Below are 25,165 nucleotides of genomic sequence, written 5' to 3'. Positions count from 1 at the left end.
TCTTTTACCAAAGAAATGACCAGTGGAAGATAGAGAAGAAAAACTGTCCTAATGTCTGTCCTACAGGAAATGGGAGAAAAAACTAAATAAGCAGCAGAGCCTATATTCAACTCACAAATCAACGGTTTCCTGGGAAGAGTCATGATATGGTTTGGCTCTGTGTCCCCACCCAAATCTCATCTTGAATTGTACTCCCATAATTCCCACATGTCGTGGGAGGGACCTGGTGGTAGATGATTGAATCATGGGGGCGGTTCCCCCGTACTGTTCTTGTAGTAGTAAGTCTCACAAGATCTGATGGTTTTATAAGGGGTTTCCACTTTTGATTCTTTCTCATCTCTCGTGCCACCACCGTGTTAAGAAGTGCCTTTCACCTTCCGCCATGATTGTGAGGCCTCCCCAGCCACATGGAACTGTGAGTCCATTAGACCTACTTTTCTTCCCAGTCTTGGGTATGTCTTTATCAGCAGCGTGAAAATGGACTAATACAAGTCAGTTCCCTTGTTTATTGAGTTAATTACCCAACAAGTGTTACTCTAATATCTACTTTTCCAGGGGATGTCAGTTTTCCACATTAAAATGAAAACCATGGTCCTAAGAAAAGGTAACCACCATGGGTCAATTCTCTCATTACAATTAATTTTTAAATTCTTTGTTATATGGTCACTGCATTCTTAAGCACAGATGAAAAGAAGTGAGCCATCTGGGGCTTCTGATCTGCCCTGTTGGGCTAAAATTTTGATGGTAAACGTATCTGTTTGTAATTGGCTTTCCTCTGTTATTGTTAATCTCATTTCTCAGGTTACAGAAAGAGAAGGTCATTGCTTGCAAACAATTAATTATAAACAACTCAGTATTTATGAAGAGTCTGCAGGAAGGCTGCTGGTTATTATGACTGTTAGTCAACCTATTTTATTTTTCTTTGACAGACAAGGTCTCTCTCTGGCACCCAGGCTGAAGTGCAGTGGTACGATTACAACTCTCTATAACCTTGAACTCCTGGGCTCAAGCAATCCTCCTGCCTCAGCTTCCTGAAGAGCTACTGCCATGGCTAGCTGTTTGTTGTTGTTGTTTTTAAATGGATGGAGTTTCACTATGTTGCCCGGGCTGATCCTGAACTCCTGGCCTCAAGCAATCCTCCCGCCGTGGACGCCCAAATTGCTGGGATTAGAGGTAGGAGCCACTGCAACCAGCCTCAACTTATTTTTAAAGACCCTTTTCTTCTTGCTGACTCTCTGAATTTAGCTGCAAAATCCTGCTATGGCTTAACAGAGGAAATGCATTAGAGGATCAGATTATTTTGACATATGCAAATACATTGCTTCAAATGAGCTCTTTCTGATCACACCTGGGACGTATGCACCTAGAGGAGGTACTATTTCTTACTTTTGCTTGCCATTCTTGGAGGTTTCTGTGACATTTTCAAAGAAAACACCAGATCAGTAACAGGGATCTGTCCTGAAAAGTGCATCTACTCCATGAACGAAGCAGATATTTTTAATGCTTCCTCTTAACTCCCACTACAAGAACCACAGACTTCGCAAAGAAATCTGGTTCTAATGAAGATATGAAGATTTCTAATTCCTAAATGGAGCAAATAATCCTCTGAACACTAAGTGGTCAAAACGGGTGGTATGATTGAATTGATTATAACAGGTTTCACAATAGTAAACTTAAAGCAAAGTATGTTTTTAAACACAAAGAATACGAGGAAATAGGGTTTCTAGATCCTTGGAGAAGAAATAATCACATTTTTAAATGCTTCAATGGATAAAATCATGATTTTGATTAGCTTCTAGTGGAAATATTTAAAGACACACTTGAATTCCAAGAATTACAGTGTTGACAAGTAAATGCCATTTAATGAAAATCAAACACCTAGCCTTTCTGTTGGGTTGGCTCTGTTAGGTTCCTGAAGCCCCAAGTTTTCATTGACTGGGACAGCTCATTTAATCCAGAATCTTGAGAACAAAAAAGAGCCTCTCATCTTGATGAACATCAAAGTCAACCAGAGTCTTCTCTACAGAACTTTGAGTTCCTCTTTAGGGAGACTATTAGGAGTTAATATTGTTTTAGGAGCAGATGCATAAGCTAGAACTAAGTCATTGAAAGAGCCTAGCTAAACTTGTGCTGATGAATGGATAAAGACTTATTTTTACCCCATTGCCAGGGGACAACTTCATCATGGAACTTCAGAGCTGAGTTATTTTCAGATGCTCCATGATAAAATGTACTCTAAGACTCAAGGCTATTTTGTTAGCTGCAAGACAGATTTATTTCCCCTTAAAAAACATGCACAGAATAATTAGGCAAGATGTTTGGCTGAAATTTTGGCCCTCCAGATACAGTCAATGTACACTTTCTGTGGACTGCCGATAGTGAGCTATCTGTATGGGATGCAAACTATTCACTGTGTTCACTTTGACTTCTTAGATAGAATCACTCGGTTTTCACTTCCTGGGCCTGAATTCCCTTCCAGTAGCAGACACTGCTAGGCCTCTGACCAAAAGCCATTCATTTTTTTTCCCCTTATGAATAGATTTCTGAGCTTTGTTGAAATGACATGTTTAGCTAACAAAATACATTTCCCCGATTCTCCTGCAGCTATCGGTAGCCACAGGCCATAGCTCTGGCCAGTCAGATCTCAACACAAGTCTCCTAGACACTTCTAGAAAAGTTGCATTTTCCTGTTATAGGTGCTTCCCTCCCACTTATTGCTTCCCCTTTTCTTCTGCCTACCCAGAGGTGGAATCGCCATTTACTGACCAGAGGCAATCCTACTCCCTTTGTGGAAATGGAGGTTTTTGGTGACTATTGTAAAGAGGGAACTGGATTTTTCATAATCTCAGGAAAATAGGCACCAGCTAAAATAGGCTGTTCAATGAAGGGCTAAACAGCTTTGTGGATTTTATCTATTTCATCAAGTTTTCACTGAGTTAGAAAGAAGCGGCATGGATAATTTCTTTGATGAGTATTCACGTAACACAGCTCCTTGAGGAAGGGCTGCTCTTTGAAAGCTGCATGACCCATTCTGTATGGAGCATGTGCTTATGGGTCTATGTTACCAATGACCCCACTGTGGCTATTTAAGGGAACATGTGACGGTGTGGCTGACTTAAATTTTTTTTCATTACCCCCCAAAAACCTGTTTTTATAAATGTTTTGGGCTGTTTTAAAGTAACAACTACCAAATCTAGTCTCCTTCGTGACTTTATAACCTCAACGAGGTGATTAAGAAAGCAAAGAAAGGTAAAAAAGACTTCCAGATAGTCTTCTGGACATGACACAGGCAGCTTCACTCTCACATCCCTCCTTTTCTTCCCTCCCTTTTGGAGGTTTAAAGGGAAGATAATACACTTCTTAAGGTGTCTGCTTAATGAGGTTTTTCCTTGAGACACTGAGACGGGGAGAGAGAAGAGATCGGTTTCCACATAGTTGAGCTCTGCCAAAAGCTGTGGCTTTGTGGAATTTGCACAGCATTGCCATCCCTCAAACGCTTTTAGTTCATGGATGGAGATAATGATATTCATTTGAGGGGCATATTATGCCCTTCTGTTGCATATACAAACCAGCCTTAATGGATATTTTTATAAAACTTCCCATGGGGAAAATAGGCCATGTGAAAGTGCCAGGCATCCAACTGTCACTTCCTTCCAGAGGAAAAAACCCAACAGCCCCGTGTAGATGGCGTCAGCTGTTGCTCTCATGTTTAGAAGTTCTTAATGCTTTCATCATCTACGCATTTGGCTTTAGGGCAACCCCAAACCTACAGTCACTTGGAGCGGTTGACACCTGCCAGAGTCACAGACCAATTTTAAACAATTTACCTAGATGATACGAAAGAGAGTGAGGAGAGGGACTCCAATTTGTTTCCTTTTGGAAACAGCTCTGACGCCCATAATCTAACAGTTTATGAGAGAGACTCAATTGAGCCATCTTAGTAAAGAACCACTACTTCTGCCAGTTTGCAAAACTAGTTTCCCGACCCTAGCTTCTCCAGCTGACTTGGATTGCCAGAAAAAAAAATGCCAAGACTATGAGATTTTTTAAAATCTATAAAGCCCTACATTCTCAGTTCTTGAGGGAAGAGTATATAATATTTGAGCTAATTATGCCCAATGAGATCAACTTTACTTATATGGGTTCCCCCTCCTCATCTATTTCCTGGGGAAAGTCTCAAGATTCTAAAAGTTGATAGAATTATGATAATCAATGGGTAGGTGAATAAATGAGCAAATGGAAGGAAGGAAGGGAGGGAGGGAGGGAAGATTTATACCTGAGGATATGGGACACAGTTGCCTTAGCAATTCTCTTCAGATTCTCAGCAAAGGTCTATGTTCCCAGCCTAACCCTGCAGAATGTAGGCATGTAGTACAGAATTTGAACATTTCCCAGAATACGAAATCGCTTGAGTCACACAGCCTTTTATTAAAATTCATGAGTAAGGTCTCAAATACTATAATCCCTTGTTATTGTGATGTCTACGACTTATCTTTGGGAGCCACAGAGCTATTCAATGTCCCAGAGCTTTCTCAAAACTGTACCTGGTAGTAAAGTTTTTTAAAATCATAATTCTAAAATTGTGATGTTTTAAAAATTCATTATAATGGGCCCCAAAACAGTTAATGTTTTCTTCTAATAAATGAAATACTTATACTTTGTGTAGAGACTATAGACAGAGTAAAGACTGTATGTATACACTTAGAAAAAAATGAGAGTGAACGAAGAAATGAATGACTATGTTCTTTTTTTTTTTTTTTTGCGATAGGGTTTCACTCATTGGCCAGGCTGGAGTGCAATGGCACGATCTCAGCTCACTGCAACCTCTGCCTCCTGGGTTCAAGCAATTCTCCCACCTCAGCCTCCCCAGCAGCTGGAATTACAGGCGCCCACCACCGTACCCAGCTAATTTTTGTATTTTTAGTAGAGACGGGGTTTTGCCATGTTGGTCAGGCTGGTCTCGAACTCCTGACCTCAGGTGATCCACCCACCTCGGCCTCCGAAAGTGTTGGGATTACAGGTGTGAGCCACTGCATTCGGCCTGAATGACTATGTTTAATGAAGGCAATCTTAACACCTCCAGGACAAGATTCTTCCAACAGTGTACTAAAAGAATGAAGTTGCCCTTGACTTAAAAATCAACAGGGCACCACGTTGGGGCAACTAAATTTTCATGACACAATGTGTTTCTAGCACCTGAAAGGTTGAGAAATTAGCCTGCTGCCTCTTGGCCTGACAAAACTCTCAATCTTGGTTCAAAAAAATAAGAATGGCTCTCTCATTGTAACATAAGAAGTTCGTAGTTCCTACTCTACTAGATAGTCATATAAGTGCTTCATTTCCCAAAAGTTAATGTTCTTCATGAGAACTTTATAAAGGAAGGCCTGGTGGTCATCAAGCAGTTCTATGGAGTGCTGACTCAATTTTAATATGGTTTTCAAAAAGTGAAGGTAAACTATGTGCCCATTTGTGGCCACAGTCAGTGGCTGCCTTGTGGTTTCTTCCATATTTGGATCTGGGTTTGGCAGGTGGAGGCAGATCTACCTGCTTCTGCTGGCAGCTCCAAGCCAGCCCATGCATAATTTACTCAAACGGATGGAACAAGCCCATTAGGGACACATCTTGGCCTGTTTCCCCTGGTTCATCATCAAATTTGCTCTGTTTTGATCTCAATGGCCCTGTAATCCTCCCCCTTTGATATCCACGAAGCTGGTATGTGTCAGATAACACATGAGACATCTGGTGGTGGACAGACCAAGGCCCTTCTGAAGAATAAAGTGAGGCTTCAAACCAGCCAACGAGCCAGGATGGGAAAAAGCTCCTAAACTAGATTATAAACATGAGGAAAACAGCCCATACCGAGGTAGGTCAAAAGACATGAAACTGACCAGGTAGTCCATTTTTAAAACCCAGTCCATCATCCTGTCCCCATCAAGCTCTGAGATGAAACAGTTCCCTGAACATGTGCCTCCTTTGATCTTGGGCGTCTCACATTTTTCATTATTAAAAGATTGAGAATGACATATTGTAATGCATTTTGTGTCACTTTTCCAGAGGCTGTATTTTATAAATGTTCTGTGTTAATCAGAATTATAAACGAGGAACTTATTTATTTTTAACAATGTGAACTGTTCAGCCCTATGTCCCGTTCGTACCCAACCTTCAGCTGAGCCACAGGAAAGCTGGAGCTCCTGCTCCCACCAAGAAACTGACCACGGCCCCACCCCTGCTAGCTTCCCATTGCCCATGACAGCAGCTCCCTGGCCCCAGCCCCCTCTCCCTCCTCTGTGCCTCCTTACCACCTAACCTTCCAGCCACTCTGCTCTTTTTCTCCCACTTGGATTCCTCTGGAACAAAGGCTTATGGCACTTAACACAGTGGAAGCTAATTAATAGTGTGACAATGGCTGAGAGCAAATCTGTCTCACTGCAGTGTAGACTCCACTAAGTGGTTTCCACCATCTTGGAAATGGGCTCTGGTAGCTGGGGGCAGATAACCCTGTGCACGCAGCTCCAACCTCAGTCTGCATGGCTCTTAGAGATGGATGGAACTTGCCCTCGTGCCTTACTCACTCTGTGTGCCCCCAGTGCCTAGCACGGTGCCTGGGCACAGCAGATACTCGACAGACATCTGCAACATGAATGGAATCAATAAATAATCAAGTAAACAAATCACAAAGCCACAGAGGGCCTTCACCATTGCACCTCACTCATCATCTACGTGAGGAAAGATGAGCTCAAAGACATTCAGCTACCAGGTGTCATGGCACAGCCAGAATCCAAGTCTTAGGGTTGAATGGACAATGTTCTTTCTATATTTATTATAAGGCGAGAGTGGGGGACAAGGACCCCTAGAGCCACTGGAATGTGCTAAGCTAATTCCACATGACATGTTGATTTCTACAAATTTTTACTATTTCATTCTTCCTAGAACTGGCATTCATGTACATTTGGCAAGGAATGATTTGCTAGGGCCCAGTCAGACTTTCTGATTGGGCCCTTAGGAAGGGGCATCAATGATTAAAAAGGCGTCTGTTTGTCCTGCAATCTGAAACTGGGATTCAGAGTAGTGACGAGTAACATTGCATAAAACCTCACTTGGCGAAATGGCTGAGCAAGGCATTGAGCAAAGCTGCCTTAGTTCTGGGTCTAGAGAAAAGCAATGAATGTTCCAATTCCAAGCAGTTTCAAGAGGTCCCAGAGATCCACCTCCTGTCCTGACAGCAAGGGAGCTGGGGGGATTCCTTGAAGCTGCTTGGATTTGAACATTCAACATTTCAGTGAAATCCCTTCCCTTATGTTCAATGCCAGCAGAACATAAGGAAAGGGATTTCACTGAAACCCTGACCAGGCCCAAGGTGGTGACTGCCGACGGAATGCCCTTTTCACTGCACAGGGATGTGCTGGTTTCAACAGTTACTATCTGTGGGTTTGCTTTACAGTGGAGGCACCTCTGGCAAAGCTTTGTTTCACCCTCCCAGGGCACACGCAGGCCTGGAAGGACCAATGCTACAGTGGCAGGTGATCAAAATGGAGAGGTAAATTATTCATTTTCTCTCAGGCTTGAAGGATAGACAGTTCTCTGCCTATGAATGAGTTGTTTCAAAAATCACTTACAAGGCTGTAGTTCTAAAGCAGGATGTTTAGAACCCTAGATCCAGAGCTACATACAAGGTTCACTTCCCAGACCAGACTCCTCAATCCCCAAGTGCTATCTTCAGAGCCCTACAGAATACAATCCCATTACAGCACAGAATGCTGGCTACCCACCCCGACATCCACTCCCCTCCCTCCTTCATAAGAGAACCCTCATTTGAGCTGGGCACACCGAGGCCTGAAACAGAAGAAAACATTTTTCCCCTTCTTTGCAGCTAAACATGGTCACTGAACAAATGAGATATTAGTGGAAGTGTTATGTGGAAACTTCCTGAAAAGCTGCCTAGAGGGAGGCCACTCAGCTGGGAGAGGCATCCTGGTTGTCCTTTTACATGTTGGTAGCATGCATCACAAACGCGAGGGCTGGAGCTACACAGCCATTTGGGGTCAGAGGGGACTGTGCATGGAAGCCCTGGGCTTGTATGGTACAACAGAGACACAGAAGCCTGGTTCCTGATGACTGTGGAACTGCTCTGAAGCCCTGGCCCACCCCCTCCCTACTCCTTTCACATGAGGGAAAAATAAACATTCTCATTCAGTCTGCTGTTATTTGGAATTTTTGTACTGTATACAGCTGCATCCAATTCTTAACTGATATGCCCATGAATTACAATGTCTCTACTGGAAAATGGGATGGTACGACACATGTATCCCTAAACCCTTTTTGGCAGTAAGCACAAAAAGAATAAGAATTTGTGCACACCTCCAAAAGAGCTTTAAGAAAAGCATAACGAGGAACTGCCACTTGTGGAACACTTCCTGTTTGACACGGTATTTGCCAGCCACCACAATGTCACAAGGTTAATGATGAATTGCTGGCCCCCTTTTACAGATGAGGAAACTGAGGCCCATGTAGTTTCAGAATCTCTCCCAAATTTAGCTGTTAAGTGGCTGAGGAAGAGTTATTTATATATTTGGCATGAGATAAACACAGATATGGTAACAGGTAGGAAACGGTAACATTTTTAAGAACTCACCAACAAATTCAGCAAATTGCAATTATATGAGGAACCAGAATAAATAGAAAGTAACTTCACAGAATTAAAGGAGATAATTGATGCAAAACTGCCTCACGTGTGGTAGATGCCTCAAAAATATCAATTTCCATCTGGATTTTTAGAGTCCTTCCGGAAATATACAAACATACGCCCCCAAATCTGTGAGATGTCGTTATCTTGTTTGATAGGTAGCATACATGAAAATCTACAATCATTAAAAATGTACCTCAAAAATGGAGTGGCCAGGTTTCTGTGTCCCATCCTCCCAACCCCCTGCCCCTCCACTTCACGTCCAGCTGGAATCGGAGAGAGTGATATTATTTGGAAATAGGGTCTCTGCAGGTGCAATTTAGTTAAGTTAAGATGAGGTCAGCTGGGCATGGTGGCTCATGCCTGTAATCCCAGCACTCGGGGAGGCCAAGGCACACAGATCACTTGAAGCCAGGAGTTCAAGACAAGCCTGGCCATCTTGGTGAAACCCCATCTCTACTGAAAATACAAAAATACAAAAATTAGCTGGGTGTGATGGTGCACACCTGTAGTCCTAGCTACTAGGGAGGCTGAGGCACAAGAATCCCTTCAATCTGGGAGGTGAAGGTTACAGTGAGCAGAGATCGTGCCACTACAGCTTGGGTGACAGAGCAAGACTCTGTCTCAAAAAAAAAAAAAAAAAAAAAAAAAAGGATGAAGTCATACTGGATTAAGGTGGGCCCTAAATCCAATGACTGGTGTCCTTACAAGAAGGAAAAGGACACACACACAAAGATACACAGAGAGGAGATGGCCATGTGAATCGGAGGCAGAGATTGGAGTGATGTAGCTGCAAGCTGGGGAACACAGGGGTTGCTGGGAGGCCCCAGAAGCCAGGAAGAGGCAAGGAAGGATTCTTCCCTAGAGCCTCGCACAAAGCATGGCCTGGAGACACCTTGATGGGTGTCTTTTGGACTTCTAGCCTCAGAATTGTGAGGGAATAAATTTCCGTTGTTTTAAGAAAACGAGTTTGGTAATTGGCTGCAGCAGCTTTAGGAAACTAGTGGAGTCTGGAAACAGATTTAAAGTAGCAAAGAGCACTGATTAATAAAAGTATTTATAATGCTGAGATCCACTTCTGTGCATCTAAAAAAATAACCATCTCTCTTGTGTAGACGGCTATGCATTTAACCTCTAATTTTCCTTCCTCCAAAAACCACTGCTGGGATGTCCTTGACTCAACTCTTCACAGAGCCAACATCAGGCTCTAGGATTCTGGCAGAGAACTCTAATTAGCGGTCAAGGCTCCGCTGCATCTGTTGATGATGTAGTGGTTTATTGAGGTGAGAAAAGTCGGCTGCTGTATGTCAAATACACCAATGAACAGCTGCTAATTAGATTTGGGGATAAGATTTGATTTTATCCTGGAAATATAAGCAATCCCTGTACACAATTGCAACTTGTATATATTTGCCTAATTCTAAGCTTAATGTTCTATTCTTCTGAATTAACATAATCAAGTTTAGAATACTTATGTTGAGAATATCAAATGAATAAACATGACTTTATACATACTCTATAGTTTGACAAATCTGTGATGGAGAAACCCAATTATGATAATTTAAAAACAGAAAAGATAATTTTCTTCAACTGTTTGTAAGAGAAAAAAGGTTTTCTTCCCCTGGAAAAATTCACAATACCACAAATGAGGTACTTATCTCTTGAGTTTCCATACAACTTAGCTAAAGACAAAAAAAAAAAAACCTCCAACAGAATCAGTGAAATATTCTCAATTGCACATATGAATCTCTAATTTATATAGTATGAGAAAATCACAAATATCAGAACGTTCTCAATGTAAATCAGTTATCTCCACTAACTCAGTATTCTCCCAGCAGGCTTAGCACCCATCCTAATAGGCATTAAAAGGATTCAGGATTCTGTGTGTGCACTCTATTTATATATTACCAATGTCAGGTTTCTTCCACTACCAGAATGAGCCCTAAAATTAGGTTACATGGAACTATAAGTCAATCAAACTGTTAATAATGTCTCTTGGGTGTTTAAAATATTTGTTATTTTTTCCAGTCTTTTTTTTTTTTTTTTTTTTGAGACAGATTTTCGCTCTTGTTGCCCAGGCTGGAGCGCAATGGTGTGGTCTTGGCTCACTGCAACCTCCATCTCCTGGGTTCAAGCAATTCTCCTGCCTCAGCCTCCCAAATAGCTGGGATTACAGGCGCCTGCCACCATGCCCAGCTAATTTTTGTATTTTTAGTAGAGACAGGGTTTTACCATGTTGACCAGGCTGGTTTCAAACTCTTGACCTCAGGTGATCTGCCTACTGTGACCTCTCAAAGTGCTGGGATTACAGGCATGAGCCACTGAATCTGGCCTCCAATCTTTTTTTTTTTTTTTACTCACAAAGTGAGATATGTGTAAAATAAAACAAGTGTTTTTCCCATCAATGGTAAGATAAATAAATCCATTATAAAAATGCACCAAGGATTTGAATACATGCTCTCCAAAGAAGATATATAATGACCAATAAACACATAAAAACATGTTCAACATCATTAGCCATAGGGAAACGCAAATCAAAACCACAATGAGGTACCACTTTGCATCCATGAGGATGGCTAGAATCAAGAAGATCTGTAACTATGAATGTTGGCAATGATGTGGAGAAATCAGAACCCTCAACTCATTGCTAGAGGAACCATAAAATGGTGTAACCACTTCAGAAAACTGCCAGTTCTTCAAAATGCTTAATACATGTGACCCTGCAATTCTACCCCTAGGTACAGACCCAAGAAAACAAAAAACATGTGTCCACATGAAACCTGTAATGTTCATGGCAGAATTATTCACAATAGCCAAAATGTAGAGACAACCTAAATGTCCATCAACTGATGATGGATAACCAAAATGTGGTACACCCATACAATGGAGTATTATTAGGCCATTAAAACAATGAAGCACTATGACATGCTACAACATGGATGAACCCTGAAAACACAATACAAGAAGCCAGTTACAAAAGGCCATTTACTGTATTATTCCATTTATGTGAAGTGTCCAGAATAGACAAATCCATAGAGACAAAAAGTAGATTAGTGGTTGCCAAGGGTCGGGATAATGGGGAAAAGGGAGATGACTACTAGTAAGTATAGAGTTTCTTTTAGGGGTGATGAATATATCCTAAAATTAGATTATGGTAGCATTTGTACAACTCTAGGCATACACAAAAAATCACTGAGCTATACACTTTAAATGGGTGAAGCTTATGGGTACATGAATTGTATCTTGATAAATCTATAACAAAAATAAAGCAATACTGGGATATAATAAGAAATATTCACTTGGACTCCTCCCCCAGTTCGTGGCCCAGAGATTCTAAAATCTTTGTAATTCCTGAGCAACAGGGATGTTAGGAGACTTTTTTGTTCTAATATTTGGTCTTTGACCCCAGTTCCTTGTCAGGGATGATAAAATTCCTCTTCAAAGGGTTTAACTTGTAATGTCCTTGTTCTTTGTTCTGAAGCCCAACTTCCTTGTACTCTCGTTTCTAGTATTTAAACCACCCTTCCTGCTCTTGCTGCACCCTGACATGCCTTGTACTGTAATGGACAGTCTCTCCTTTCCCACCCAACTAGCCCTCCGCAATTTCAAACAGTAGCCAGTCGGGTCAGCTTAGATCTTAGGTTGTGCAGTCCAACCCCAATCAATAGGGGAAGGACACAGAGACAGGAACTGAGTTAGGGTTAAAAACCCCTTCCTTCCCTTGTTCGGTGTGCTCTTGCGATCGTGACTGAAACAGGAAGCACCCTTCTGCAGAAGTAAATTTGCTTTGCTGAGATATTTTCTGTTCGAGTGTTATTTCCTTTGCGACTCAAGCACTCATTTCCAACATCCTGAAACAGAGCTAATCCCTTGGAATTTCCTGGGTGATGGGAGTGTCTTTTGTTATCATGGGGTGACTCTGGGTGGGTTCCTGGATACAGGCTGGTCACTGGAAAGACCAAGCCATGACTAGAAGCTTGAAACTTTTAGCTCTACTGCTCCCCAGTCTCCAGGAAGGGGTGAGGGTCTGGAGATGGAGTGAATCATCAGTCATGCCTGTGTGAGAAGGCCTCCATAAAAGTCTCTGGACTTCAGGGTTCAGAAAGCTCTGTTGATGGTGGGTCCGGGGAGGCCATGGAAGCTCTGGGCCCCTCCTCACATCCCTTGCCCTGTGCATCTCCTCCACCTGGCTGTTCATTTGTATCCTTTGTAATATCCTTGATAATAAACTGGTAAATGTAAGTAACGTGCATTCCTGAGTTCTGCGAGCTGTCCTAGCAAACAAGAGAACCCTAAAAGGGGGTCAATTTGTAGCTAAATTGGACATCAGCTATGGGTAACCTGTACTTATGAGTAGTGTCTGAAGCAGGGATGGTGGGGGGCAGTGTTGTGGGACTGAACCCTTATCTTGTCGGACCTGATGCTATCTCCAGGTAGATAATCTCAGAATTACACTGAACTATAGGACACCCGGTTGGTGTCTGCTGGAGAGTTGCTTTGTGTGTGGGTGGGGGGCAACATCTCTCCACATTTTGGTGACCAGAAGCACTTTGTGTTGAGAGTACAGTAGGAAAAAACACTTGTTAGTTTGTTTTTCCTGCAATACAAATTCTTGTTTTCACTGACAGTAAAAAAAAAATAAAATAAAGCCTTGCCAAAACCAAACAAAAGCCATGGTAGCCCCAGTGATCATTCCTTTAGTCTCAATTAGGTGGTATTTGTCTTTTTCCTTCCCTTTTTTTCCCCGTTCCCTTCCTCTTTCTTTCCTCCTCACGTTGACTCTCGGGGTTTCTGGTCAAATCATTCAGACAATTTGACACATTTTTAAGAAAACTGGCCAGCTGCCTGACAAAATCAATAAGATATATTTACATGACAGGCAACTTATCTATACACTGTGGTAAAGAGCTTTAGAAGGTTAAGTCAGACCGACAGGACTGATCGATGATTGGCAATAGGCAAAGTCACAGTACCATTGTTTTAATTTTCCAGGATGGAGCTGGTCTCTCCGGTTTGCTCAATAGACACTGCTTCATATAGACACGCATTACACTTTTCAGCACCTTTACTGCTCATTCATTCATTCATTTACCAGTGGCCTCACACACTAACTAGCGGCAAAGTAGTAGCCCCGTAACCTATGTTTGAAAAGCCAATAGCTACCTTGAAGTCCAATGGAATGGGTTTAAAAGGATCTTAGAAAAATGTGTGAAGAAAGAAAAACATCTCAAAAACACTCAACACTCCTCTGTGTTTAAAAAAAAGTAAGTGAATCATACAAGTCAGATTTATTAATTCTCTTTTAAAATGCTAAGAAGGTCAGCAAAATGATTAGTCTGAGGAGGCCATGAGGAGTTAAGGGCTTAGGCCTATGGGGCAGAAACAGGAGTTCTAGATCCTATATGAGTTCTTCATTCACGCAAACTGCATGGCCTCGTTCGCCTTCCTGTTCTCACCTGTTAAGGGGGAGAGGCGGATTGATTGTGCTGCCCAAACCTGGCTGATTTTCAGGATCACCTGGGAAGCTGTTATTTAATCTTTTTTAAAAGTCTTTTCATTATGGAAAATTTCAAATACATGCAAAGAGCAGAGAGAATAATGGATCCCTAAGTACCCATTACCAGCTAACACAACAATCAACTCTTGGCCTATTTCTTTTCAGGGAGAATAGCTCTACGCTCTTCCCTCCTCCTTCCCAACCTTCCTGGAGACCTTTATGAGAACAGATTCCTGGGCCATACTCCGTGGGTGTCTCATTCATCACGTCCATAACGAAACTGGAGGATTTTTGTTTGTTTTCTTCCTAAAGAGTCAGGTTTGGAAACCAGTGATCTGGAGGACCCCTGAATTCCTTTTCAGCAACAAATTTCTATCGTATAGGGTATACAAAACAACAAATGCCATTAAGTCCAGTTTGTGAAAAAATAAAAATGAATTTAATGTGCAGCATACATAATTTATAGTGCGTTAGGCCACTGATGGGAAAATATTACTCATTAAAATTTAAGTAAAATTTAAGTATGGATCTGGACCTTCAAGAAAGAAAAAGTTCTGTTTAATGCAGGCTTTGGAGAAACCCCAAGTTTTCCTGATTTTAGAACTGCAAATTGTAGATCATTCTAATGACTTGCTTGGAACCAGAGTGAGGCCCTCCACTCCACCACCAACAAAGTGATGATTAGGTAAGTGGGAACACTGCACAATAACCAAGCTCCAAAAGCAAAAGCCAATTGGTGTGCTCCAATCGGTGTGCTCCAATCAGTGTGCTTCAGTCAGTGTGCTCCAATCGGTGTGCTCCAATCGGTGTGCTTCAGTCGGTGTGCTCCAATCGGTGTGCTTCAATGTATTCCAAGACCAGCAGACGACAGAAGTCAGGGCCAACCTCTGGATGCAATAATCAGCACCACCAAAACCCTAATGCGTATCACCCACTCAGAAAGTTCCAAACTTGTAAAAACTGTCTTTGGCAATTTTATCTTAAAATGGAAGAGACTTCAGAGACCATGTAGCTACCCAAACAGATAATCCACCACCTCATTTTAGAATACTTTTAACCTCTTTTTACTGAAGGGTATGTGCCATCAAAATGACAACGTCCACTGAATTAAACATACATCCAGAGGTGAAACCTGGTTGATCCTACAGGCATCTCAAACAAACCCTGCACGTTGGAATCTGACTTCATGAGCCCCCGGCCCCCCACACTCTACCAAATACCGGACTGCTTGTGAGAAGCTAACAGAGGGTGGAATCTAGAAACAGCAGCAAAAGCTCTGAGCATAAGCACTCAAGAGTTCCCTGAATTGGCTAAGGAACCAGATGTTGCTACATGAAAATTAACTTTCTTAGTTTGACGCACATTCTTTGGGATCAATATCAAGACATAAGGGAGGAGAAAATGAGGTGGTATTTTCTAAACTGGACCAAAACAATAACTTTAAAAATTAAGTATATTTTTATCTTTAAATATGCAAGGCTCAGATTTTTGTTTAACTGAGGGGATGAAGTGGAGAATCCATGTCTCTTCCCCTCAAAAGGACAAGCTTTTAAAAGGCAGTTCATGGCTTGCTTGCAACAATTCTCCACTTAACTCACTGTATGTCCGATTTTTTCCCACAGAACTATGTAAATTGGGAAAGAAAGAGAATCATTCAACTCTAGAGTGGTTTGGCAAAAGTACAATTAATGAAAGGTGTTTTAAGCATATTTTTCTCTTATGGTAATAAATGCTTCATTAGTATTTTAATTTAAAGGTCAGCCAAGAGAGCCGGCATCTTTTGATTTTTACCGATTGAAATAATCTGCAAAAACTTAATATTCTAGGAAGCATAACTCTTAGAAATATAAGGTCTATTTATAAAAATGTTTTAAAACTTAAAAGTAATTGCATTACAAAATAAGAAATGAAAAAATTTCCCAGAACTCCACCACAACTCCATCGCTGGGTCATTTTAATTATTTCCTTTCAGTAATTTTAAACTTGCCTGTTTTTTACTGTAAGTTATACTTACAGTACATATAACTTTAAAATCTTAGTAACTGAATTTTTATTTTTCTAATTTTTAAATGACCACATAAATGAGTCATAATTTGCATCATTAGTCTTTCATTTTTATATTTTTGTATGTTTTAGAAGAGATTTCTAAAAATAGAATAGCCACAAATGTTTTACAACTCTTGATATATATGGCCACTGATTTCTAAGAGTAGTATCAATTTACGATATAACCTGAAACATAGAAAAATATTGCTCTCTTTCCCAGCAATTGATAATCATTTTTAAAATGCTTTGCTAATTAAATATGTGAGAAATATTACAGTACTTTATTTTTCTAATTTTAATATCTTTGTTAAAGAACCAGAATGTTTTCCATTTGTCTGTGTGGTAATTATATTCCCTCTACTGTAAGCTCTCTTTTAGAATTATTTTGCCAGTTTATCTACTGGGGTCCTTATACATTCGTATGAGCTCTTTCAGACTTCTTTAATGTTACTGTCTCCTGGTATTTCTTTGGTTTAACTTCATTTTATTATTTTTTTTGAGACGGAGTCTCACTCTGTTACCAGACTGAAGTGCAGTGGTGCAATTTTAGCTCACTGCATGCAATCTCTGCTTCACGGGTTCAAGCGATTCTCCTGCCTCAGCCTCCCGAGTAGCTGGGATTACAGGCACGTGCCACCACACCCAGCTAATTTTTGTATTTTTAGTAAAGACGGGGTTTCACCATGTTGGCCAGGATGGTCTGGATCTCCTGACCTCGTGATCCGCCCACCTCAGCCTCCCAAAGTGCTGGGATTACAGGCATGAGCAGCCACATCTGGCCTCATTAATTATTTTTTATATACAGCTTTGAGATACAATTCACATACCAGACAATTCATCTACTTAAAGTATACAGTTCGATGGTTTTTAATACAGTGTGCTCCCATTATCACAATTTGTCATCTCAAAAAGGAACCTCAAAGTCATTAGCAGTTCCTCCTCAATCCCCTTCAAATGCTCCCCATCCCCAGCCCTAGGTAACCACTAACCTACTTTCTGTCTATACAGATTTGCTTATTCTGGATGTTTCACATAAATGGAATCATACAATATGTGACTTTCTGCGTCTGGCTTCTTTTACGGAGCAGGATGTCTCTGAGGTCCATCTATGTTGCAGCATGTGTTGTATTTCATTCCTTTTTGTTGCCTAATCATGTTCAACTGCACGAATATATCACACTTACTTAGCCATTCATCAGCTGATGGACATTTGGCTACTATGAATGATGCTGCTATGACCCTTCTTGTATTAATTTTTGTAAGAACATATGTTTTCATTCTCTTCGGTATATACCTAGAAGAGGAATTGTTGGGTCTTATGGCAACTTTAACTTTTTGAGTGACTGCCAAATACTCTTCCAAAGGAGCTGTACCAATGTACATTCCAGAAGTTACAAGGTTTTCAATTTTTCCACATCCTCATCAACACTTACTATTATCTTTTTTGATCATGGCCATCCCAGTGAGTGTGAAGAATGTCATTGTGATTTTGATAATTAACTCTTTTATGAGACATATGGTGTATTCCCACCAACATGGAAATCATGTTCTAATGAGAAAAGCACCAGCTTTGGAGTCCCACAGGTCTCATGGGTCCACTTATGAGTTGAGTGACCAGAGGGAATTCTAAACTACTTGGTCCTCAGTTGTGAAATGGTGCTAATGCCTTTCTCACTGTGATCAGTAGCCATCTAATAAAAGGTTGTCCTTGTTACTGCAATACATTGGCCCCATGCTTGGAATAAAACAATGCAGTCTGTGCCCTTTACATACACACGTGTGTACATGAAACCCCATGTACACATGAAAATTCCACCATGACGTGACAAGTGCTCTAATGTGGTATTATTCACAAGGAGCCTTGGGGTCATGGAGGAAGGGATGCTTATGTCTTCCAGGGGACTCAGGGATAGCTTCAGAGTAGCTGACACAGACAAAGTCACTCTTTACCATCCTGGTTTAACAATCTCCATGTTTCTGCCAAGAAACAACTTGGCATCCTATCACAGGCAACGCACCCCCAAGTCCAGTCTCTTGGTGGTTAAAGGTTTACTAAATCCTAGAAGTGCAATCATAATTGTAAAAATTTTACTTTGCACATTTTATGTTTCAAGCTGATTCTAGGTTGTCACTCCCTCAAAGAACACAGAAGATAAATTTGGACTTTCTTTTAAAGAAGTGGGCCTATGCATCTGGCTAAATCAAGTCATACTCAAAATCAAGACTAATCTTTTTGCAGCACTACTTCTGAGCAGATGCTATTGGCATGTCTTCAGAGAATCCTAATTAAGTAGTGTGGTTGTACACTGGTGCTTTGTCCTCAGTGTATGCTGCCAAAATGAATTCAGCAAACCATGTCTTTATTCAGCATCCAGACACAATTTCATCCAGCACTTGGTTTCCACCTACCAAAGGGACTAGAGAAAACCTTGGCTGTGGCAAACATTCTCTATTCCACTGTTTTCCTCTTACAAACAAAACACATGGAGAAACAGAATAACTGTGCATGGCCTTCGGAAATCAAGTTTTCTTTTAGAAACTGACTCCCGCAATATCTACTAATCTGGGATTTGCATAAAGGTTTAAGAAAATGTTTATTATGCCAGGAACCCTCCCTGTTTCCCAGGCCACTTTTTTTTTTCTTGCAGATGTCACCAAAGCTTACCCAAAGCAAGTTCTTATTTAGAGCTATTATCCATTTGCTTTTTCTTTTAACACACTCTGGGAAATCCTGTTGACAGGAGTGGCTCCTAACAGCAAAATTCTGTTCCAGAGGCGATCACCAAGGAGAGGCAGGGAGCGACAGCCGGGAACTGATGGAGAGGAAGGCTTCAGTGGGAAGCGGGGGAAGGTGCAAACAACTCAAGTGTCCATTGATGAGTGAATCGACAAAGGGCGGTATATCCATACAGCGAGATACTATTCAGTCTTAAAACTGAATAAAATTCTGACACATGTGACTACATGAATGAACCCTGAGGACTTCATACTAAGTGAAATAATAAGCCAGTCACAAAATGACAAATACTGAATGATTCTGCTTATGTGAGGTGTCTGGAGCAGTCAGATTCATAGAGACAGAAGGTAGAATGGTGGTTACCAGGGGCTGGAGGGGAGGGAAAATGAGGAGCTGGTGTTTCATGAGTACAGAGCTTCATTCAGGGAGGACAAGGAAGCTCTGGAGATGGATGGTGGTGATGAGCACATGACATTATGAAGGTGCTAAACCTGACTACACTGTACATTCCACAGTTAAAAGTGGTAAATTTTATGCTATGGATATTTCACCACAATAAAAACAACTATTTGAAAGAGAAAAAGGCATAGAAGGGACCTTCACCTCTCTCTCTGTCTACCAAAGCCCACAACAGAAGCATCTCCGAGTGCTCGCTTTGCTGTTCATTTTAAGATCTAAAGATGCTCTATTTAGACAAACGTTTGTATATAAAAAGGACCCGTTTTGAAAATTCTTTACTTCTCCACAACCAAAAGAAACACAAATGAGATTTATTTTTAAGGCCAACTGTCGTCCTTTGTCTTAAAAATGGAACAATTCACATGAAGCATCTGCGATGATAGTGTTCTCTGGCTCCTTTTACCCTCAAGGAGATGACGCGTTCAGGAAAGGGCTGGGGGCCAGAATTCCAAGGAAGCACAGCAGAGAGAGAGCACTGGCCCTGGGCCTCCAGTGATCCATTTATGCCATCACAGAAAACACCTTCTGGAGAGAGTTTCCAGTCATTTCTAAAGAATCCAGGGCAGGAAGGAGGAGGACGCTGGATGGTAGTGCTGTAAGGCTTTCTCTTTAGTTCAGCTAAAAGCCGGGCTCTTGTCACATGACCATGAAAGATTAGGCTCACAGACACTTTGAAGGGTGAGAAGGACAGGGTTTATTGGGTGAAGAAGAAAGAAGGGAAAGAGAGACTCAGCAAAGTGAGAGTCCTCCTAGTGGGCTTCCCGCCTCACAGACTGAATCCCCGGTTACCGCCCCGGAAGAGGAGAGGCCAAGCTCCTTCCCACTGCAGACAGCACAAAATTCCATGGCTCCCCCACAGCGCACACTCCTCCCAGTGCACAGGCCAGGTTGGAGGTTCTCAGGGACCCCTTTATACTTGGCTGTCTCTGTAGCATCAGAGCCAGAACCTCCAAGGCCACCCGTGAAACCTGAGCGCTCCACGCCTGCTACATGTTCAGATCTGTATAATATTTTCTCTCATTCTACAGTGGCTATACTACAACATCCCTCATAATACATATTTTAAAAGAAGAAATTGTTTTAAGTTTAATATTTTTGGAGGAGGAGCCAAGATGGCCGAATAGGAACAGCTCCGGTCTACAGCTCCCAGCGTGAGCGACGCAGAAGACGGGTGATTTCTGCATTTCCATCTGAGGTACCGGGTTCATCTCACTAGGGAGTGCCAGACAGTGGGCGCAGGTCAGTGGGTGTGCGCACCGTGCGCGAGCCGAAGCAGGGCGAGGCATTGCCTCACCTGGGAAGCGCAAGGGGTCAGGGAGTTCCCTTTCCGAGTCAAAGAAAGGGGTGACGGACGCACCTGGAAAATCGGGTCACTCCCACCCGAATATTGCGCTTTTCAGACCGGCTTAAGAAACGGCGCACCACGAGACTATATCCCACACCTGGCTCAGAGGGTCCTACGCCCACGGAATCTCGCTGATTGCTAGCACAGCAGTCTGAGATCAAACTGCAAGGCGGCAACGAGGCTGGGGGAGGGGCGCCCGCCATTGCCCAGGCTTGCTTAGGTAAACAAAGCAGCCGGGAAGCTCGAACTGGGTGGAGCCCACCACAGCTCAAGGAGGCCTGCCTGCCTCTGTAGGCTCCACCTCTGGGGGCAGGGCACAGACAAACAAAAAGACAGCAGTAACCTCTGCAGACTTAAGTGTCCCTGTCTGACAGCTTTGAAGAGAGCAGTGGTTCTCCCAGCACGCAGCTGGAGATCTGAGAACGGGCAGACTGCCTCCTCAAGTGGGTCCCTGACCCCTGACCCCCGAGCAGCCTAACTGGGAGGCACACTGACACCTCACACGGCAGGGTATTCCAACAGACCTGCAGCTGAGGGTCCTGTCTGTTAGAAGGAAAACTAACAACCAGAAAGGACATCTACACCGAAAACCCATCTGTACATCACCATCATCAAAGACCAAAAGTAGATAAAACCACAAAGATGGGGAAAAAACAGAACAGAAAAACTGGAAACTCTAAAACGCAGAGCGCCTCTCCTCCTCCAAAGGAATGCAGTTCCTCACCAGCAACAGAACAAAGCTGGATGGAGAATGATTTTGACGAGCTGAGAGAAGAAGGCTTCAGACGATCAAATTACTCTGAGCTACGGGAGGACATTCAAACCAAAGGCAAAGAAGTTGAAAACTTTGAAAAAAATTTAGAAGAATGTATAACTAGAATAACCAATACAGAGAAGTGCTTAAAGGAGCTGATGGAGCTGAAAACCAAGGCTCGAGAACTACGTGAAGAATGCAGAAGCCTCAGGAGCCGATGCGATCAACTGGAAGAAAGGGTATCAGCAATGGAAGATGAAATGAATGAAATGAAGCGAGAAGGGAAGTTTAGAGAAAAAAGAATAAAAAGAAATGAGCAAAGCCTCCAAGAAATATGGGACTATGTGAAAAGACCAAATCTACGTCTGATTGGTGTACCTGAAAGTGATGTGGAGAATGGAACCAAGTTGGAAAACACTCTGCAGGATATTATCCAGGAGAACTTCCCCAATCTAGCAAGGCAGGCCAACGTTCAGATTCAGGAAATACAGAGAACGCCACAAAGATACTCCTCGAGAAGAGCAACTCCAAGACACATAATTGTCAGATTCACCAAAGTTGAAATGAAGGAAAAAATGTTAAGGGCAGCCAGAGAGAAAGGTCGGGTTACCCTCAAAGGAAAGCCCATCAGACTAACAGTGGATCTCTCGGCAGAAACCCTACAAGCCAGAAGAGAGTGAGGGCCAATATTCAACATTCTTAAAGAAAAGAATTTTCAACCCAGAATTTCATATCCAGCCAAACTAAGCTTCATAAGTGAAGGAGAAATAAAATACTTTATAGACAAGCAAATGCTGAGAGATTTTGTCACCACCAGGCCTGCCCTAAAAGAGCTCCTGAAGGAAGCGCTAAACCTGGAAAGGAACAACCGGTACCAGCCACTGCAAAATCATGCCAAAATGTAAAGACCATCGAGACTAGGAAGAAACTGCATCAACTAATGAGCAAAATCACCAGCTAACATCATAATGACAGGATCAAATTCACACATAACAATATTAACTTTAAATATAAATGGACTAAATTCTGCAATTAAAAGACACAGACTGGCAAGTTGGATAAAGAGTCAAGACCCATCAGTGTGCTGTATTCAGGAAACCCATCTCACGTGCAGAGACACACATAGGCTCAAAATAAAAGGATGGAGGAAGATCTACCAAGCCAATGGAAAACAAAAAAAGGCAGGGGTTGCAATCCTAGTCTCTGATAAAACAGACTTTAAACCAACAAAGATCAAAAGAGACAAAGAAGGCCATTACATAATGGTAAAGGGATCAATTCAACAAGAGGAGCTAACTATCCTAAATATTTATGCACCCAATACAGGAGCACCCAGGTTCATAAAGCAAGTCCTGAGTGACCTACAAAGAGACTTAGACTCCCACACATTAATAATGGGAGACTTTAACACCCCACTGTCAACATTAGACAGATCAACGAGACAGAAAGTCAACAAGGATACCCAGGAATTGAACTCAGCTCTGCACCAAGCAGACTTAATAGACATCTACAGAACTCTCCACCCCAAATCAACAGAATATACATTTTTTTCAGCACCACACCACACCTATTCCAAAATTGACCACATAGTTGGAAGTAAAGCTCTCCTCAGCAAATGTAAAAGAACAGAAATTATAACAAACTATCTCTCAGACCACAGTGCAATCAAACTAGAACTCAGGATTAAGAATCTCACTCAAAGCCGCTCAACTACATGGAAACTGAACAACCTGCTCCTGAATGACTACTGGGTACATAACGAAATGAAGACAGAAATAAAGATGTTCTTTGAAACCAACGAGAACAAAGACACCACATACCAAAATCTCTGGGACGCATTCAAAGCAGTGTGTAGAGGGAAATTTATAGCACTAAATGCCTACAAGAGAAAGCAGGAAAGATCCAAAATTGACACCCTAACATCACAATTAAAAGAACTAGAAAAGCAAGAGCAAACACATTCAAAAGCTAGCAGAAGGCAAGAAATAACTAAAATCAGAGCAGAACTGAAGGAAATAGAGACACAAAAAGCCCTTCAAAAAATCAATGAATCCAGGAGCTGGTTTTTTGAAAGGATCAACAAAATTGATAGACCGCTAGCAAGACTAATAAAGAAAAAAAGAGAGAAGAATCAAATAGACACAATAAAAAATGATAAAGGGGATATCACCACCGATCCCACAGAAATACAAACTACCATCAGAGAATACTACAAACACCTCTACGCAAATAAACTAGAAAATCTAGAAGAAATGGATACATTCCTCGACACATACACTCTCCCAAGACTAAACCAGGAAGAAGTTGAATCTCTGAATAGACCAATAACAGGCTCTGAAATTGTGGCAATAATCAATAGTTTACCAACCAAAAAGAGTCCAGGACCAGATGGATTCACAGCCGAATTCTACCAGAGGTACAAGGAGGAACTGGTACCATTCCTTCTGAAACTATTCCAATCAATAGAAAAAGAGGGAATCCTCCCTAACTCATTTTATGAGGCCAGCATCATTCTGATACCAAAGCCGGGCAGAGACACAACCAAAAAAGAGAATTTTAGACCAATATCCTTGATGAACATTGATGCAAAAATCCTCAATAAAATACTGGCAAACCGAATCCAGCAGCACATCAAAAAGCTTATCCACCATGATCAAGTGGGCTTCATCCCTGGGATGCAAGGCTGGTTCAATATACGCAAATCAATAAATGTAATCCAGCATATAAACAGAGCCAAAGACAAAAACCACATGATTATCTCAATAGATGCAGAAAAAGCCTTTGACAAAATTCAACAACCCTTCATGCTAAAAACTCTCAATAAATTAGGTATTGATGGGACGTATTTCAAAATAATAAGAGCTATCTATGACAAACCCACAGCCAATATCATACTGAATGGGCAAAAACTGGAAGCATTCCCTTTGAAAACTGGCACAAGACAGGGATGCCCTCTCTCACCGCTCCTATTCAACATAGTGTTGGAAGTTCTGGCCAGGGCAATCAGGCAGGAGAAGGAAATAAAGGGTATTCAATTAGGAAAAGAGGAAGTCAAATTGTCCCTGTTTGCAGACGACATGATTGTTTATCTAGAAAACCCCATTGTCTCAGCCCAAAATCTCCTTAAGCTGATAAGCAACTTCAGCAAAGTCTCAGGATACAAAATCAATGTACAAAAATCACAAGCATTCTTATACACCAACAACAGACAAACAGAGAGCCAAATCATGAGTGAACTCCCATTCACAATTGCTTCAAAGAGAATAAAATACCTAGGAATCCAACTTACAAGGGATGTGAAGGACCTCTTCAAGGAGAACTACAAACCACTGCTCAAGGAAATAAAAGAGGACACAAACAAATGGAAGAACATTCCATGCTCATGGGTAGGAAGAATCAATATTGTGAAAATGGCCATACTGCCCAAGGTAATTTACAGATTCAATGCCATCCCCATCAAGCTACCAATGACTTTCTTCACAGAATTGGAAAAAACTACTTTAAAGTTCATATGGAACCAAAAAAGAGCCCGCATCGCCAAGTCAATCCTAAGCCAAAAGAACAAAGCTGGAGGCATCACACTACCTGACTTCAAACTATACTACAAGGCTACAGTAACCAAAACAGCATGGTACTGGTACCAA

At 41.7% G+C, this 25,165-nt stretch overlaps 1 protein-coding gene across 11 annotated transcripts in view, besides 2 other annotated features; it reads right to left on the bottom strand.

The window, feature by feature from the left end:
* The window catches only part of PRKCA (protein kinase C alpha), a 508,131-nt gene that overhangs the window by 187,629 nt on the left and 295,337 nt on the right, over positions 1 to 25,165 (bottom strand). The gene's annotated exons all lie outside the window — the stretch shown is intronic.
* Positions 20,089 to 20,740: an enhancer, noted in NCBI's record as "H3K27ac-H3K4me1 hESC enhancer chr17:64598493-64599144 (GRCh37/hg19 assembly coordinates)". NCBI's record gives its function as "activates a minimal SCP1, AML or CMV promoter by ChIP-STARR-seq in naive H9 embryonic stem cells {active_cell/tissue: H9 hESC(naive)}" and the evidence as "EXISTENCE:reporter gene assay evidence [ECO:0000049][PMID:30033119]".
* Positions 20,741 to 21,394: an enhancer, noted in NCBI's record as "OCT4-NANOG-H3K27ac-H3K4me1 hESC enhancer chr17:64597839-64598492 (GRCh37/hg19 assembly coordinates)". NCBI's record gives its function as "activates a minimal SCP1, AML or CMV promoter by ChIP-STARR-seq in naive H9 embryonic stem cells {active_cell/tissue: H9 hESC(naive)}" and the evidence as "EXISTENCE:reporter gene assay evidence [ECO:0000049][PMID:30033119]".

The sequence above is a fragment of the Homo sapiens genome, chromosome 17 (genome assembly GCF_000001405.40).
Source record: "Homo sapiens chromosome 17, GRCh38.p14 Primary Assembly".
In the NCBI taxonomy this organism is placed as follows: domain Eukaryota; kingdom Metazoa; phylum Chordata; class Mammalia; order Primates; family Hominidae; genus Homo; species Homo sapiens.
The sequence above is the reverse complement of the archived record's forward strand: the minus strand, read 5'-3'. Positions and strand labels throughout refer to the sequence as shown.